At 53.1% G+C, this 18126-nt stretch overlaps 1 protein-coding gene and 1 pseudogene across 1 annotated transcript; both read left to right on the top strand.

Moving 5' to 3' along the window:
* The first annotated feature begins 1213 nt into the window (after window positions 1-1213).
* Window positions 1214-4226, top strand: FAM90A7 (family with sequence similarity 90 member A7). Its single transcript, NM_001397387.1, has 4 exons — window positions 1214-1336; window positions 1832-2031; window positions 2490-2598; window positions 3264-4226. Exons 1-4 carry the CDS (start codon window positions 1214-1216, stop codon window positions 4224-4226), a joined length of 1395 nt encoding a protein of 464 aa, NP_001384316.1.
* On the top strand, window positions 7203-12433 carry FAM90A6P (family with sequence similarity 90 member A6, pseudogene; annotated as a pseudogene).

Here is an 18126-nt window from a genome sequence, read left to right as displayed (position 1 = left end):
CAGGTAACTGATTAGGTTAGGGTACGTTCCATGTCAGGTGACCAGAGGCAGTATAAAAGGCAGCCTGGAAAGCGGAGGTCCCTCTCTGCCCCTTCCTCCGTCGTCCTGGATGCTGCATCGCTTCCAGCCGGGCTGCTGCAGCACCTGCCCATCTCAGCGCCAGCCTGGGAAAGAAAGTAGACGTGTAATTTCAGGTTAGTTTCGCTGAACAATTGTTTGTTTCACGCAATCCCTGAGTGGTTTTGGCGGGGGGGGGGCGGGGGGAGGAAGAGACAAAGGAGGCCGAAAGAAACCGATCACACTGGGGCTTGCTGGTGGGGTAGGATGTGTTCTCGTTACTAGTAATTCTTGGAACAGAAAACGAGACAACATATCCGTCTCCACGTGTGGGAGAAGACCAAGATGGGAATGCGAAAAGAAATGTACTGCAGCATGCTGAATTGGTGGGTAAATGGAAAAAGGACTTTGGAAAAAAGGGGGGTTTGCCCTTCAGCCGTGTAAGACGTCGATACGATACGGCACTTCTTCCCCGTTTGTTCAGATGAATTCGTGTGGTGTGCGTAAAATACCAGGAAAATAAATAAAGAGGGGCTGGAGCTAAAGCCAAAAGATAGAACAGGAAAGACCATCACCTGCTAGTGCGGTAGAGAGGAAGGTAACTTCTCTGTATGAATTTGTGTTTGGAAGTTGCCTAATGAAATGGCAAGAGTAGCGATTCAAGTTATCACAGGAAGCATCCCTTATCCGTGACTTCAAGCAGACCTGCCAAAGGGTGGCACACGCCATGCCCTGTGTCTTCGATCATTCTGTCCGTCAAGGGAGATAGAATCACCGTGTCTTCTACCGGAGTGAATCGTGAGAGACCTAAGTCCAGTCTCCAGAATCAGTTGTTTGTTTGGGGTTGAAAGCTCAACCCCCCATACCTAGGCCACGGGCCCTGTGGCAGGTGGGGTTTACTCTTGGACTAGGTAGTCATGGCAGAGGAACACACAATATCCGAGGATGCGCACAGCACATTGTGTTCTACAGATTTGACCGACTGGTGGTGAGGTCTCCTCATGACCACACAGGCAGGGAGTTAGCAGGTGGCTTCCTGTGGGTGTGTGAATATCCAACGTGCTTAACCATCGACATGTGTGTGTTTGTGTGTGTTTCAGGTGGCCCAACAGTCCACCCCTGAAAAAGGCGGTCATAAAACCCCCAGGAGACGAAGATGATGGCACGTCGGGACCCCAAATCTTGGGCCAAGAGACTGGTGAGAGCCCAGACCCTCCAGAAGCAGCGGAGGGCCCCAGTTGGGCCAAGGTCTCCCCCGCCCGATGAAGAAGATCCCAGGGTAAGTCTAGCCCTGGATCTCTTGGGTATCGGGGTGGGGGTGGGGAACGGGGGGAGGCGGTGTCCCACGGTCCTCAGAGACTGGGTTGGATTCCAAAGAGTTCTGTCACCACCAGCCAGGTTGCTTTTCCCATCCAAGGTGGGCGTGGCTTGGGACCTTCTCCCCGGCCCGATAGGTCCCTTGAGAGACTCTTGGGGGCAACCTCCCTTTCTACTTCGAGTCCTGTGTAGCCACGTTTGGCTGCGTTGTTGACATCGGCTTCACCATCGTGCCCCTTGGAACCTTGAGTCCTTCCTTTCAGAGTTACTCCGTCACAAGGGCTTTGCGAGGGAACATCGTATCCGAACTCTCCCAGCACTTAACGGCCCCCATGCCGGTGTCCCCTCTTCGGAATCCTTATTCAGCTCTGAATTCACAATCCGTCCCAATGTTGACGTGGGATCGCTGCCTGTGGCTTCAGCTCACTCACTGACATCACTTCCTTTCCACCCACAGCTCAAGTGCAAAAACTGCGGGGCCTTTGGCCACACGGCCAGAAGTACCAGGTGCCCCATGAAGTGCTGGAAGGCAGCCCTGGTTCCAGCGACCTTGGGGAAAAAGGAAGGGAAGGAAAACCTGAAACCATGGAAGCCCCGGGCTGAAGCCAACCCGGGGCCCTTGAACAAGGATAAGGGAGAGAAGGAAGAGAGACCAAGGTGAGCAGTGGGAGGGGTTTTCACCACTCTTAGGGTGCTGCCTCCTAAGGAGATGGTGTCTCTGCACCTGCACACCGTGTGCCTTTCCGTCTCCGGGCCAGGGAAGGAGCGCTGCAGAGAAATAGGCCGGAGCTCCGTGTCCTCCGGGGTTCCACACCCAGGAGCTCCTTGGGCTCTGGGAGATTCAGGGACGGGGAGAGGCGGGGGCGCTTCGTGCAGGTTCCCCACGACAGCGGGAAAAGCGATGGAATCCAAATCACAGTCCTTAGTCGGGAAGCCTAGAGGGCCACCTGGAGGATGGGAAGGTTGGCACGTGAGGGAAGGTGCAGAGGCGGAAAGGGCACCAGATGTCCATTTCTGTATCACAAAACACGGAATGGGGCTGGGCCCCAGACGGGGTTCTCCCTGTCTCCTGGGGAAAACCAGGGGGCACCGCCTGACCTTTTTCTGTTCTGCAGGCAACAAGACCCGCAGAGGAACGCTCTCCTCCACATGTTTTCCGGGAAACCTCCAGAGAAGCCGCTGCCGAATGGAAAAGGATCCACGGAATCTTCCGAGCATCTGAGGGTGAGTGTCACCCCGGGCCCCTGGTCCTTTTCTCCTCTAGGTCACCCTGGTTGATTTCCTTTCAGCTTCCCGTCTGCGGGAGGAAATCGGGGAACCCCTCTTTCTTGCCTTCTTGGGGTCAGGGACTCCACAATCCTTCCAGGTCAATTGGATTCCAGGCGAAGGCATCTGAAGATGCCGTATTTCCTGTGGCTTTCTTTCTGTCCAATTATGGCAAGCCTGCCAACAACACGTTCCTAGCGGCATGAGGAAATTAGTCCCTCAGAGGCCCCAAACGTGGAGAAGGCTAAACCCAGGAACATGCATGTGTTCAGAGAAGACGTCCCGAGTACCCTTGAGCCACCAACCTGCCTCGGGAAGGGCATTAGTCCGTTCCACTTCATGGAAGGCTGAGTGGAGGCGCTTTGATCCAGTTAATGCCCAAGACGCGATCTTTTGAACAATGGTGTGCTTAGATCAGCTACACATAGCTCGAGAGCGCACCTTTCATGTGTCTTGTCCTGATCAGCACTCAGGTGGAGGGATCTGTCCCTACTTCCAAGGACCGCCTGTCGATACTGTACTAAGAATTTCATGGCGTGTGCACCTTGTCTTTGGATATGTTTGATTTTCACGTTGGCTCCATGCCGTGGAACTTCTAACCTGTGTTGTTTCCTCTCTTTCAGGTTGCAAGCGGGCCAATGCCGGTCCACACAACCAGTAAGAGGCCGCGCGTGGACCCTGTCCTCGCTGATCGCTCAGCTACCGAAATGTCTGGCAGGGGCTCCGTCTTGGCTTCACTGTCTCCCCTCAGAAAAGCCAGCCTGAGCTCCTCCTCAAGTCTTGGACCAAAGGAAAGACAGACAGGGGCTGCGGCCGACATCCCTCAGCCTGCATTCAGGCACCAGGGCCCCGAGCCTCTCCTCGTGGTGAAGCCGACACACAGCAGCCCTGAGGGTGGCTGCCGAGAAGTTCCCCAGGCTGCCTCCAAAACCCACGGCCTGCTCCAGGCCGTCAGACCCCAGGCACAAGACAAACGTCCTGCGGTGACCTCACAGCCCTGCCCGCCAGCCGCCACACACAGCTTGGGCCTAGGCTCCAATCTCAGCTTCGGGCCAGGAGCCAAGAGACCTGCCCAGGCTCCGATTCAGGCTTGCCTGAACTTCCCCAAGAAACCGAGACTGGGTCCCTTCCAGATCCCCGAAAGCGCCATCCAGGGAGGTGAGCTGCGGGCCCCGGAGAATCTCCAACCTCCGCCAGCCGCAACCGAACTTGGACCAAGTACGTCGCCCCAGATGGGCAGGAGGACACCGGCCCAGGTGCCCAGCGTCGACCGGCAGCCTCCGCACAGCACACCTTGCCTGCCTACTGCCCAGGCCTGCACCATGTCCCATCACCCAGCGGCCGGCCATGATGGGGCCCAGCCTCTCAGAGTGCTCTTCCGGAGACTGGAAAACGGACGCTGGAGCTCCAGCCTCCTGGCCGCCCCCTCATTTCACTCTCCTGAGAAGCCGGGAGCCTTCCTCGCTCAGAGCCCTCATGTGTCAGAGAAGTCTGAGGCTCCCTGTGTTCGTGTCCCACCGAGCGTCCTCTATGAGGACCTTCAGGTTTCCTCCTCCTCAGAGGACAGCGATTCTGACCTGGAGTGAGACTGCAGGTGGCAGGGGCTCCTTGGCCTCCAGCTCCCGTGACTTGGAGGGGACTGTGGGACTGAGGAGCGCAGAGCAGAGAGCACACTCTGTGCGGTGACTCCGAAGCTCCCCGGCTGTGGCGCTTCTGTGGATGTGGGAGCCCAGGCCAGGCAGGGAGCAGATGCAGGGACTCTGCCTCATTGAATTCTGGTGAGGGACGTTGTAGTTGGCGTGGTTCTCCCGAAACGCGCCAGGAAAAGCTTCCGTGCCAGAGATTCGTTGCCTCAGAAACTGCGTGACGCGCAGGAGTCAGACTTCCGCTGGGACGTCAATAGGAAACTGGGGAATTACTGTGTATTTGCTGTCTAGATGACTGAATAAGGGAAAAGTTAGGGAACCCTGAGAGGTGCAGCCCTTCCGCTGTGCCCCGCCCTGAGAGCAGTGTTTCGGACGCTGGGAAGCGTGCTGTGCGAAGCGCTCTCGGGGTCTTTCCTCAGCCTCGAAAACTGGGCTCTGGAATGCCTTTGTACATATGTGTGTTTAATGTGTTTTGAAGTGAATAAAATTCTCAAAAAGATGACATATTGTCTTTTGACTCTCATTCCGTGTTTGTGTGTAACTGATTTTCCAAGTGAAGGGGTGGCCCGCCCCTCCACACCTGTGGGTGTTTCTAGTCGGGTGGGATGAGAGACGGAGAAAAGAAATCAGACACAGAGACAAAGTATAGGGAGACAACAGTGGGTCCAGGGGACAGGCACTCAGCACACCTAGGACCTGCACCGGCACCGGCCTCTGAGTTCCCTCAGTTTTTATTGATTATGATTTTCATTATTTCAGCACAAAGGAATGCAGTAGGGGAGCAGGGTGATAATAAGGGGAAGGTCAACAACAACAACAAAAAACAAACACGTGAGCAAAAGAATCCATATCATTATTAAGTTCAAGGGAAGGTACTATGCCTGGACGTGCACGTAGGCCAGATTTATGTTTCTCTCCACACAAATATCTCAGCGGAGTAAAGAATAACAAGGCAGCATTACTGCCAGCATGTCTCGCCTCCCGCCACAGGGCAGCTTTTCGCCGAGCTCAGAGTTGAACAAATGTACGATCGGGCTTTACACCGAGACATTCAGTTCCCAGGGGCAAGCAGGAGACAGTGGCCTTCCTCCATCTGAATTGCAAGAGGCGTTCCTCTTTGACTAATCCACCTCAGCACAGACCCATTGCGGGTGTCAGGCTGGGGGACATTCAGGACTTTCCCATCCCACGAGGCCATATTTCAGACTGTCACATGGGGAGAAACCTTGGACAATACCCTGCTTTCAAGGGCAGAGGTCCCTGTGGCTTTCCACGGTGCATTGCGCCCCTGGTTTATTGAGACTAGGGAATGGCAATGACTCCTACCAAGGATACTGCTCGTAAACATTTGGTTAACAAGGCGCGTCCTGCACAGCCCTAGATCCCTTAAACCTCGATTTTATACAACACAGGTTTTTGTGAGCTCCAAGTTGGGTCAAAGGAAGGGGCTGCGGCAAAGCTACAAATGATCAACATCTCAGCAAAGCAATTGTTTAAACTACAGGTCTTTTTCAAAATGGAGTCTCTTATGTCTTCCCCTTCTACATAGACACAGTGACAGTCTGATCTCTCTTTCTTTACCCTACATCCAAGGGCTTGAACATTTCTTGACTTGTTGGCAATCCAAATCGTTACGTCTCCGAAACAGAGTTGACTGAGGGGACCGCAGGGCTGGGCAGGACCTTTGACTTCCTATACATCCACAGGAGCAAGAAAACCTCAGCCCCACTCTACCAACACGCACCTAGTAAAATTCCGCCAACCGCATCTCACGCACGCTAACACGTGGGGAGCGTTGCTTGCACCACGAGTCCCCATTTGGCTCAACCGCCGATGCCAAGTGTGTGGTTCCAGTTGCGACGGCCCCCCGTGAAGTGGCTTCCGGATGTGCGAATGAACCAGGCAGCGTTTCACTGGCCAAATAGACCCCAGCAAAGCTGAAGTTAACTCCCACATTTGGGATGTACCTCAGAGGTAAAACATTCATCCCGTCTTCTTTCTGGATGTCTGACACCATGGTTCTCCCCCTGATCCTAAGAGTAGCTGAGGCAGAGACTCACTGAAAGATCTAGGCGGGGATATCCCATCATGCACAGGCTCTCTCCATTCTCTGACCTGGGAACAACTCTCAGCAGGATTCCACATCTAGGAGGCCTCGGAACTCAGTGGGATTTTCTGAGACACACCAACTGGCTGCTCCCTCTCCGCCGCTGTTGTGGGTCGTTATCTTGATTATCCAGATCAACTAGAAAGTATCCGTATCCAGAATGAATAAGATCAACTCTCTGCTCCTCTGACAGCAGAAGGAGCAGGACCATAAGGAACCAAAGAGCGTGGAAGGAAACGATGTGACAGGAAAGCTCAGAGAACGGCCACAGGGGGTCGTCAGCAGGCCTTCCAACCTGAATCATGAATAATTAATGAAGCGCAAATCAAAGGGGACTCGAGTTTCAGCAGGAGCAATTCATCCAACGGGAGATCGCCGGAGGGCCAACAAGATTGAGAGACTGGGAGCCGGGTGCAGTGTCAAAGGGGACGCGACTGGTTCCAAAGCTCGAGAAGACCATGGGGTCACTTGGGCTACATGAGAAAATGCCCCAGTGTGCTGGTTCATCATTCCGACTCCTGCCTGTCTCTTCCCGTCCAAGGAACATGGACCCTAAGTCGTGCAGGTGCGGATGACCATGGGCAGAATTAGGGGCCGTGGCACTAAAGTTCACCGACACGGGAGTTCCACAGAAGGTGCGGTGGATCTTCGCAAATCCAGAGACATGGCAATGGGACCCAGGGAATTAGAGCCTCACAGGCGTCCGGGAGACTTTTCAGGCATAATGCCTGGAGTCGCAAGAGGAGCTGAAAAAGGAGCCAGGCACTGAAGGACAAAGCGTTGTTGACTTTCCTCATCTGTGTTTCCCAGTGCGGTCCAATTCACGGTGGTTTCCAAGCGCCTCCTGGGGGAGAAAACACATGAGGGTGCGGTCAGGGTTCTCTGCTGACAGACTTACCTTGGGGAAGAAAGAGAAGCTCTGAAGATGGATCATGGCCGTGACTGCACGTCAAGGAGAGTCTCCTTGATGACACTGAGGCCTACGTCGAGATAGACAAAATGTGGTCCAATTAAAAGGTGTCTATTTTACCACATTTTTTAAAACAAAACAAAACTAAACGACAAAAAAGATGGAAAAGAAGACGGGTACAGGCACCAGTGTTACATGTCTGACGGGGAACATCTATTGTTCAAAGCTTGCAGCTGTACAAGTAGGTTTTAGAATGTCTGTCAGCAGTGGACAGGATCTTAGAGTGGGCTGTGCAGATAGACCTTTCCAGGTCATGTAATTGGATTAAGTTAATTGCAATTAAGGTACAGGTAACTGATTAGGTTAGGGTACGTTCCATGTCAGGTGACCAGAGGCAGTATAAAAGGCAGCCTGGAAAGCGGAGGTCCCTCTCTGCCCCTTCCTCCGTCGTCCTGGATGCTGCATCGCTTCCAGCCGGGCTGCTGCAGCACCTGCCCATCTCAGCGCCAGCCTGGGAAAGAAAGTAGACGTGTAATTTCAGGTTAGTTTCGCTGAACAATTGTTTGTTTCACGCAATCCCTGAGTGGTTTTGGCGGGGGGGGGGCGGGGGGAGGAAGAGACAAAGGAGGCCGAAAGAAACCGATCACACTGGGGCTTGCTGGTGGGGTAGGATGTGTTCTCGTTACTAGTAATTCTTGGAACAGAAAACGAGACAACATATCCGTCTCCACGTGTGGGAGAAGACCAAGATGGGAATGCGAAAAGAAATGTACTGCAGCATGCTGAATTGGTGGGTAAATGGAAAAAGGACTTTGGAAAAAAGGGGGGTTTGCCCTTCAGCCGTGTAAGACGTCGATACGATACGGCACTTCTTCCCCGTTTGTTCAGATGAATTCGTGTGGTGTGCGTAAAATACCAGGAAAATAAATAAAGAGGGGCTGGAGCTAAAGCCAAAAGATAGAACAGGAAAGACCATCACCTGCTAGTGCGGTAGAGAGGAAGGTAACTTCTCTGTATGAATTTGTGTTTGGAAGTTGCCTAATGAAATGGCAAGAGTAGCGATTCAAGTTATCACAGGAAGCATCCCTTATCCGTGACTTCAAGCAGACCTGCCAAAGGGTGGCACACGCCATGCCCTGTGTCTTCGATCATTCTGTCCGTCAAGGGAGATAGAATCACCGTGTCTTCTACCGGAGTGAATCGTGAGAGACCTAAGTCCAGTCTCCAGAATCAGTTGTTTGTTTGGGGTTGAAAGCTCAACCCCCCATACCTAGGCCACGGGCCCTGTGGCAGGTGGGGTTTACTCTTGGACTAGGTAGTCATGGCAGAGGAACACACAATATCCGAGGATGCGCACAGCACATTGTGTTCTACAGATTTGACCGACTGGTGGTGAGGTCTCCTCATGACCACACAGGCAGGGAGTTAGCAGGTGGCTTCCTGTGGGTGTGTGAATATCCAACGTGCTTAACCATCGACATGTGTGTGTTTGTGTGTGTTTCAGGTGGCCCAACAGTCCACCCCTGAAAAAGGCGGTCATAAAACCCCCAGGAGACGAAGATGATGGCACGTCGGGACCCCAAATCTTGGGCCAAGAGACTGGTGAGAGCCCAGACCCTCCAGAAGCAGCGGAGGGCCCCAGTTGGGCCAAGGTCTCCCCCGCCCGATGAAGAAGATCCCAGGGTAAGTCTAGCCCTGGATCTCTTGGGTATCGGGGTGGGGGTGGGGACGGGGGGAGGCGGTGTCCCACGGTCCTCAGAGACTGGGTTGGATTCCAAAGAGTTCTGTCACCACCAGCCAGGTTGCTTTTCCCATCCAAGGTGGGCGTGGCTTGGGACCTTCTCCCCGGCCCGATAGGTCCCTTGAGAGACTCTTGGGGGCAACCTCCCTTTCTACTTCGAGTCCTGTGTAGCCACGTTTGGCTGCGTTGTTGACATCGGCTTCACCATCGTGCCCCTTGGAACCTTGAGTCCTTCCTTTCAGAGTTACTCCGTCACAAGGGCTTTGCGAGGGAACATCGTATCCGAACTCTCCCAGCACTTAACGGCCCCCATGCCGGTGTCCCCTCTTCGGAATCCTTATTCAGCTCTGAATTCACAATCCGTCCCAATGTTGACGTGGGATCGCTGCCTGTGGCTTCAGCTCACTCACTGACATCACTTCCTTTCCACCCACAGCTCAAGTGCAAAAACTGCGGGGCCTTTGGCCACACGGCCAGAAGTACCAGGTGCCCCATGAAGTGCTGGAAGGCAGCCCTGGTTCCAGCGACCTTGGGGAAAAAGGAAGGGAAGGAAAACCTGAAACCATGGAAGCCCCGGGCTGAAGCCAACCCGGGGCCCTTGAACAAGGATAAGGGAGAGAAGGAAGAGAGACCAAGGTGAGCAGTGGGAGGGGTTTTCACCACTCTTAGGGTGCTGCCTCTAAGGAGATGGTGTCTCTGCACCTGCACACCGTGTGCCTTTCCGTCTCCGGGCCAGGGAAGGAGCGCTGCAGAGAAATAGGCCGGAGCTCCGTGTCCTCCGGGGTTCCACACCCAGGAGCTCCTTGGGCTCTGGGAGATTCAGGGACGGGGAGAGGCGGGGGCGCTTCGTGCAGGTTCCCCACGACAGCGGGAAAAGCGATGGAATCCAAATCACAGTCCTTAGTCGGGAAGCCTAGAGGGCCACCTGGAGGATGGGAAGGTTGGCACGTGAGGGAAGGTGCAGAGGCGGAAAGGGCACCAGATGTCCATTTCTGTATCACAAAACACGGAATGGGGCTGGGCCCCAGACGGGGTTCTCCCTGTCTCCTGGGGAAAACCAGGGGGCACCGCCTGACCTTTTTCTGTTCTGCAGGCAACAAGACCCGCAGAGGAACGCTCTCCTCCACATGTTTTCCGGGAAACCTCCAGAGAAGCCGCTGCCGAATGGAAAAGGATCCACGGAATCTTCCGAGCATCTGAGGGTGAGTGTCACCCCGGGCCCCTGGTCCTTTTCTCCTCTAGGTCACCCTGGTTGATTTCCTTTCAGCTTCCCGTCTGCGGGAGGAAATCGGGGAACCCCTCTTTCTTGCCTTCTTGGGGTCAGGGACTCCACAATCCTTCCAGGTCAATTGGATTCCAGGCGAAGGCATCTGAAGATGCCGTATTTCCTGTGGCTTTCTTTCTGTCCAATTATGGCAAGCCTGCCAACAACACGTTCCTAGCGGCATGAGGAAATTAGTCCCTCAGAGGCCCCAAACGTGGAGAAGGCTAAACCCAGGAACATGCATGTGTTCAGAGAAGACGTCCCGAGTACCCTTGAGCCACCAACCTGCCTCGGGAAGGGCATTAGTCCGTTCCACTTCATGGAAGGCTGAGTGGAGGCGCTTTGATCCAGTTAATGCCCAAGACGCGATCTTTTGAACAATGGTGTGCTTAGATCAGCTACACATAGCTCGAGAGCGCACCTTTCATGTGTCTTGTCCTGATCAGCACTCAGGTGGAGGGATCTGTCCCTACTTCCAAGGACCGCCTGTCGATACTGTACTAAGAATTTCATGGCGTGTGCACCTTGTCTTTGGATATGTTTGATTTTCACGTTGGCTCCATGCCGTGGAACTTCTAACCTGTGTTGTTTCCTCTCTTTCAGGTTGCAAGCGGGCCAATGCCGGTCCACACAACCAGTAAGAGGCCGCGCGTGGACCCTGTCCTCGCTGATCGCTCAGCTACCGAAATGTCTGGCAGGGGCTCCGTCTTGGCTTCACTGTCTCCCCTCAGAAAAGCCAGCCTGAGCTCCTCCTCAAGTCTTGGACCAAAGGAAAGACAGACAGGGGCTGCGGCCGACATCCCTCAGCCTGCATTCAGGCACCAGGGCCCCGAGCCTCTCCTCGTGGTGAAGCCGACACACAGCAGCCCCTGAGGGTGGCTGCCGAGAAGTTCCCCAGGCTGCCTCCAAAACCCACGGCCTGCTCCAGGCCGTCAGACCCCAGGCACAAGACAAACGTCCTGCGGTGACCTCACAGCCCTGCCCGCCAGCCGCCACACACAGCTTGGGCCTAGGCTCCAATCTCAGCTTCGGGCCAGGAGCCAAGAGACCTGCCCAGGCTCCGATTCAGGCTTGCCTGAACTTCCCAAGAACCGAGACTGGGTCCCTTCCAGATCCCCGAAAGCGCCATCCAGGGAGGTGAGCTGCGGGCCCCGGAGAATCTCCAACCTCCGCCAGCCGCAACCGAACTTGGACCAAGTACGTCGCCCCAGATGGGCAGGAGGACACCGGCCCAGGTGCCCAGCGTCGACCGGCAGCCTCCGCACAGCACACCTTGCCTGCCTACTGCCCAGGCCTGCACCATGTCCCATCACCCAGCGGCCGGCCATGATGGGGCCCAGCCTCTCAGAGTGCTCTTCCGGAGACTGGAAAACGGACGCTGGAGCTCCAGCCTCCTGGCCGCCCCCTCATTTCACTCTCCTGAGAAGCCGGGAGCCTTCCTCGCTCAGAGCCCTCATGTGTCAGAGAAGTCTGAGGCTCCCTGTGTTCGTGTCCCACCGAGCGTCCTCTATGAGGACCTTCAGGTTTCCTCCTCCTCAGAGGACAGCGATTCTGACCTGGAGTGAGACTGCAGGTGGCAGGGGCTCCTTGGCCTCCAGCTCCCGTGACTTGGAGGGGACTGTGGGACTGAGGAGCGCAGAGCAGAGAGCACACTCTGTGCGGTGACTCCGAAGCTCCCCGGCTGTGGCGCTTCTGTGGATGTGGGAGCCCAGGCCAGGCAGGGAGCAGATGCAGGGACTCTGCCTCATTGAATTCTGGTGAGGGACGTTGTAGTTGGCGTGGTTCTCCCGAAACGCGCCAGGAAAAGCTTCCGCCAGAGATTCGTTGCCTCAGAAACTGCGTGACGCGCAGGAGTCAGACTTCCGCTGGGACGTCAATAAGAAACTGGGGAATTACTGTGTATTTGCTCTCTAGATGACTGAATAAGGGAAAAGTTAGGGAACGCTGAGAGGTGCAGCCCTTCCGCTGTGCCCCGCCCTGAGAACAGTGTTTCGGACGCTGGGAAGCGTGCTGTGCAAAGCGCTCTCGGGGTCTTTCCTCAGCCTCGAAAACTGGGCTCTGGAATGCCTTTGTACATATGTGTGTTTAATTGGTTTTGAAGTGAATAAAATTCTCAAAAAGATGACATATTGTCTTTTGACTCTCATTCCGTGTTTGTGTGTAACTGATTTTCCAAGTGAAGGGGTGGCCTGCCCCTCCACACCTGTGGGTGTTTCTAGTCGGGTGGGATGAGAGACGGAGAAAAGAAATCAGACACAGAGACAAAGTATAGGGAGACAACAGTGGGTCCAGGGGACCGGCACTCAGCACACCAAGGACCTGCACCGGCACCGGCCTCTGAGTTCCCTCAGTTTTTATTGATTATGATTTTCATTATTTCAGCACAAAGGAATGTAGTAGGGGAGCAGGGTGATAATAAGGGGAAGGTCAACAAAAAAAAAAAAACAAAAAAAAAAAAAACCACGTGAGCAAAAGAATCCATATCATTATTAAGTTCAAGGGAAGGTACTATGCCTGGACGTGCACGTAGGCCAGATTTATGTTTCTCTCCACACAAATATCTCAGCGGAGTAAAGAATAACAAGGCAGCATTACTGCCAGCATGTCTCGCCTCCCGCCACAGGGCAGCTTTTCGCCGAGCTCAGAGTTGAACAAATGTACGATCGGGCTTTACACGGAGACATTCAGTTCCCAGGGGCAAGCAGGAGACAGTGGCCTTCCTCCATCTGAACTGCAAGAGGCTTTCCTCTTTGACTAATCCACCTCAGCACAGACCCATTGCGGGTGTCAGGCTGGGGGACAGTCAGGTCTTTCCCATCCCACGAGGCCATATTTCAGACTGACACATGGGGAGAAACCTTGGACAATACCCTGCTTTCAAGGGCAGAGGTCCCTGTGGCTTTCCACGGTGCATTGCACCCCTGGTTTATTGAGACTAGAGAATGGCAATGACTTCTACCAAGTATACTGCTCGTAAACATTTGGTTAACAAGGCGCGTCCTGCACAGCCCTAGATCCCTTAAACCTCGATTTTATACAGCACAGGTTTTGGTGAGCTCCAAGTTGGGTCAAAGGAAGGGGCTGCGGCAAAGCTACAAATGATCAACATCTCAGCAAAGCAATTGTTTAAACTACAGGTCTTTTCCAAAATGGAGTCTCTTGTGTCTTCCCCTTCTACATAGACACAGTGGCAGTCTGATCTCTCTTTCTTTACCCTACATCCAAGGGCTTGAACATATCTTGACTTGTTGGCAATCCAAATCGTTACGTCTCCGAAACAGAGTTGACTGAGGGGACCGCAGGGCTGGGCAGGACCTTTGACTTCCTATACATCCACAGGAGCAAGAAAACCTCAGCCCCACTCTACCAACACGCACCTAGTAAAATTCCGCCAACCGAATCTCACGCACGCTAACACGTGGGGAGCGTTGCTTGCACCACGAGTCCCCATTTGGCTCAACCGCCGATGCCAAGTGTGTGGTTCCAGTTGCGACGGCCCCCCGTGAAGTGGCTTCCGGATGTGCGAAGGAACCAGGCAGCGTTTCACTGGCCAAATAGACCCCAGCAAAGCTGAAGTTAACTCCCACATTTGGGATGTACTTCAGAGGTAAAACATTCATCCCGTCTTCTTTCCGGATGTCTGACACCATGGTTCTCCCCCTGATCCTAAGAGTTGCTGAGGTAGAGACTCACTGAAAGATCTAGGCGGGGATATCCCATCATGCACAGGCTCTCTCCATTCTCTGACCTGGGAACAACTCTCAGCAGGATTCCACATCTAGGAGGCCTCGGAACTCAGTGGGATTTTCTGAGACACACCAACTGGCTGCTCCCTTTCCGCCGCTGTTGAGGGTCGTTATCTTGATTATCCAGATCACCTAGAAAGTATCCGTATCCAGAATGAATAAGATCAACTCTCTGCTCCTCTGACAGCAGAAGGAGCAGGACCATAAGGAACCAAAGAGTGTGGAAGGAAACGATGTGACAGGAAAGCTCAGAGAACGGCCACAGGGGGTCGTCAGCAGGCCTTCGAACCTGAATCATGAATAATTAATGAAGCGCAAATCAAAGGGGACTCGAGTTTCAGCAGGAGCAATTCATCCAACGGGAGATCGCCGGAGGGCCAACAAGATTGAGAGACTGGGAGCCGGGTGCAGTGTCAAAGGGGACGCGACTGGTTCCAAAGCTCGAGAAGACCATGGGGTCACTTGGGCTACATGAGAAAACGCCCCAGTGTGCTGGTTCATCATTCCGACTCCTGCCTGTCTCTTCCGGTTCAGGGAACATAGACCCTCACTTGTGTTATCCAGTTGTCGTTCTTTTTTTAGATACTTATGCAGTGATACACTACTGTAACTATTTTTTAAATTTATATTTAGGCCTCTCCTCATAAGATACATTAATCAAGAGCCTTTCCATTGTGTTTCAAAACACAGTAGCATCTCACTCTACACACCGGACATGCCTGGTTACTGTTTTATCCAAAATGTTTGAAATCAGCATTGTGATTGCCTTTTTTTTTCTACACGAAGGAGATAGAAACTTGTCTGTCCTCCTCAAAGTTATGGCCCTGCCTTTATAAAAAAAATGCTGCCCAAATCATGAAATTTAGTGTACAGGTATATGAAATACAAACCAAAAATTGAAAACAAAACTTAGGAATGGCAAGTGGTAATGTAAACTTGATGAGCCAGAGCAGAAGCGTGTCTCACTTGGAAGCAATCACAGCAGTCACCACTATTTCATCCTATAATTTCAGTATTTATTGAAAAGCATTGGCCTGGGGAGTGTGGGGAACCTGAACAAAGACAAGGACTGGGTCACAGCACGGAGAAAATGGTGAAAATCTCAGGGCATACATACAGTGTCAAGCTTAGGAATTATTATCTATACATCAGACCAATGACTACATGGACACCAGCAATCAAGGGGCTGTGTTAGCCCTGGGAGTGAGCAGAGTTCTTCAGGTGAATTTTCACGCCACTGAAAGCATGCTGAAAGCAGAACCCTCACGTTGAGGAGTAAGGGATTTGATTGAGTGTGGTTGCATTTAAGAGGTTGAATATGGAAGAGAAATTCTAAGGGACACTGTGTGCCAAGTGAAATGGGAGCACTTTATTTACACACCTTGCAGTTCTTCGTCTCCCTGCAGCATCTGGGATCCTCTGCTAGTGAGCACAATGGATCATGATGGGAAACAGAGAAGGGGAAGCAAGAGGTTCCTGGAACTACTCTCCCTCCACATTTTAGGGCATGCACTGACTAAGGATTTGGCCAATCTCTGATCTATCAATGTAAGTGGTGGATCTTGGCTACATCCCTTCTTGAAAACACATCTTCGTGCTCTGGTTGGAGAACTATGGTGAACCCTGTGGCAGACCTGAGTGCTGGACTTGGTGAAGGGTGCATAGGTCTGAGGGAGGAGTTGGGCAAAGTCTCCATCCTATACAGGCTGAAGCTGAGATTGGCTGGTCTAGGGAATCCCACTGGACTAGGTGTGGTTGGTAAAGGGTAGGGCACAGAGGAGAAAGTATGCAATGCGCAGTAGGATTATTGAAAGAGAAGCGCTGAGCCAAGCAACATGGTTTTCTTCGGATCTCATCAAGGGCTGGTGACATACGGGTTCTGCCTCCCCCTCTTCTGTAGGTGAGCGCGGCACATTGTCTCTTTCATGTCTGAGGTGTCTCTGTCTTGAACATGGAACTCCAAGGTGAAGTCATCCACAGAGTGCTAGATGTAATCGATCTGCAGAGGGAACTGCAGGCCATCCAGTGACCTCAGGACATGCTCAGGCACAACCACAAATACGCTGTTACCCAGGGTCAGGGCAGGGCTGTCTGTGGGGACAGGATGAGGACATACTCTTCCAGTCTCAGTGTGAGTTCTGTCCCTTGTTCCGGGACCACGATGATGAACGTCTCTGTGCTGGAATTCTGCTGCTGCTGTGGAACGACAGCCCTCAGTCCACTGCCTTCAAAAAAGACTGCAAATGATGCTCCTGGGGAGGGAGCTGGAGCAGCTTCACCCTCTACAACTTTAAAATACAAATTTCCTCCTAGAAGTGGCAGTCATGCTGACCCTGCTGAATGCACCACCACTGGATGTGTCTTGTGGCCTGGAGATTATGCAACATAGTCCAATCTTTGCTATCCATGAACATAGGGAGTTACCTGGGGTGATTCCAGGCCTGGAATGAATTCATGTGAGGAATTCTTTGAAGTAAGGGTGTTTCTGCATCTGTGGTGAGACCACAGTGAGGGAGGTTAAGGCTCCCCACCTTTTTTTCTTCTTTCTTTCTTTCCAGACACAGGAGATAATCAACAAAGACCAGGCTCCCTTTTAAATCCAATAAGAAACATTTTACAACCTACTCCCTCTCAAGTCTACTATCTGAAGGTTCCTCTGCACAGTAAAACTTGGCCTCCCCACCTCTTTATCTTAACCTAAACATTTCCTTTCAATAGATCCCTGGTCTTAGATAAACTCATCCAATTATCAACCAGATAATTTTTAAATCTATCTATAAGCTGGAAGCCCCCCTCCTTCAAGTTGTCCCACTTTTCTGGATCAAATCAACGTATTTCTTAAATGCACTTAGTTGAAGTCATGTCTCCCTAAAATGCATAAAACCAAGCTGCACCCTGATCACCTTGGACACACGTTCTCAGAACCTCCTGAGGGCTGGGTCACACGACATGGTCAATCATATTTGGCTCAGAATAAATATCTCCAAATATTTTGCAGAGTATGACTCTTTTCCTCAACAAGGTCATGATGATTAGGGTCAAAATTCACCGATATGAAGGACAGCCCCAATTTCTTGACTCAGAGAAATAAAGCAAGAGAAAACACATGGAGGAGGAGGAGGAGGAGGAGGAGAAGAACCTGGAGCTCCCGCCTGCCCCTGGGTGAGTCCTGGAGGTGGAAGGAGAGGTACTTGATCCTGAGTTGGCCCCTGCTCCACCTGAAACAGAACCCTGGAGTGCCACTCCCTGAATGCGGCCCAGCTCTACCCAGGTTAGACACTCCCTTGCCCTAGAGCCTGGGTCCTCCCTGGCCCCCGCTACCACTGCTTCCTCAGAGCCCAGGCCCAGTGCACCACATCTGCCTCTGCACGGCTCTGGGAGGGCTGCACCAAGGACAATCTAGTCTCAGAGGGGACTTCCTGGACACAGGCGGGTCCTGACACCCTGAGGGAACAGAGGAGAATGGCCTTCACAGGGGCTGCTGTCTTGGGGCTCACAGAAGCGGCCTCTCCAGCGACCAGACTCAGAACCTACCCAGAGGCCCAGGCTGGTGAGGATGCCCTGGCTGGGCCTTTCATGTGGATGAAGGCAGTTCCCACCTCAGCCAACGTCTAAAACCCCGAGGAGAATCAAACCTGAAAGAGTCCCTGTCCTCCTTCCCAGAGGGGAAAGGCAGTTCCTGAAACCTCAGTAGAAGAGAAAATGCTGTGAGGGTTCAAGGGACCAAGGACGCCCTTCCCAGGCCAGCAAGGCCAGAGTAGGAGGAAGCTGCACCCACCTCCAGGGGACATGTGAGGTTTTAGAGGCTCAGGCAAGTCAAGGGCAAACGCCCTGTACTCCCCGCAGGGTCATGAGCACTCCCCACCTACTGGAGTTGGGCTCCAGAAGGCCAGGACATTATCCCTGCATCTCCCCTGCCTCCAGGACTCAGGCCTGAGCTCCCAGGTTGGCCAGGAAAAGCTAGTGGTAGCTCTAGCTGGCCATGGACATACAGGCTGGGACATGCAGGCCAACAAAGAGGTGCTGGGCCCTCAAGAGAACTTCTAGACTTCCTAGACACTCCAGAGACACA

Source organism: Homo sapiens, chromosome 8, assembly GCF_000001405.40.
Source record: "Homo sapiens chromosome 8, GRCh38.p14 Primary Assembly".
Classification (NCBI taxonomy): domain Eukaryota; kingdom Metazoa; phylum Chordata; class Mammalia; order Primates; family Hominidae; genus Homo; species Homo sapiens.
This window is presented reverse-complemented; position numbering and strand designations above follow the sequence as displayed.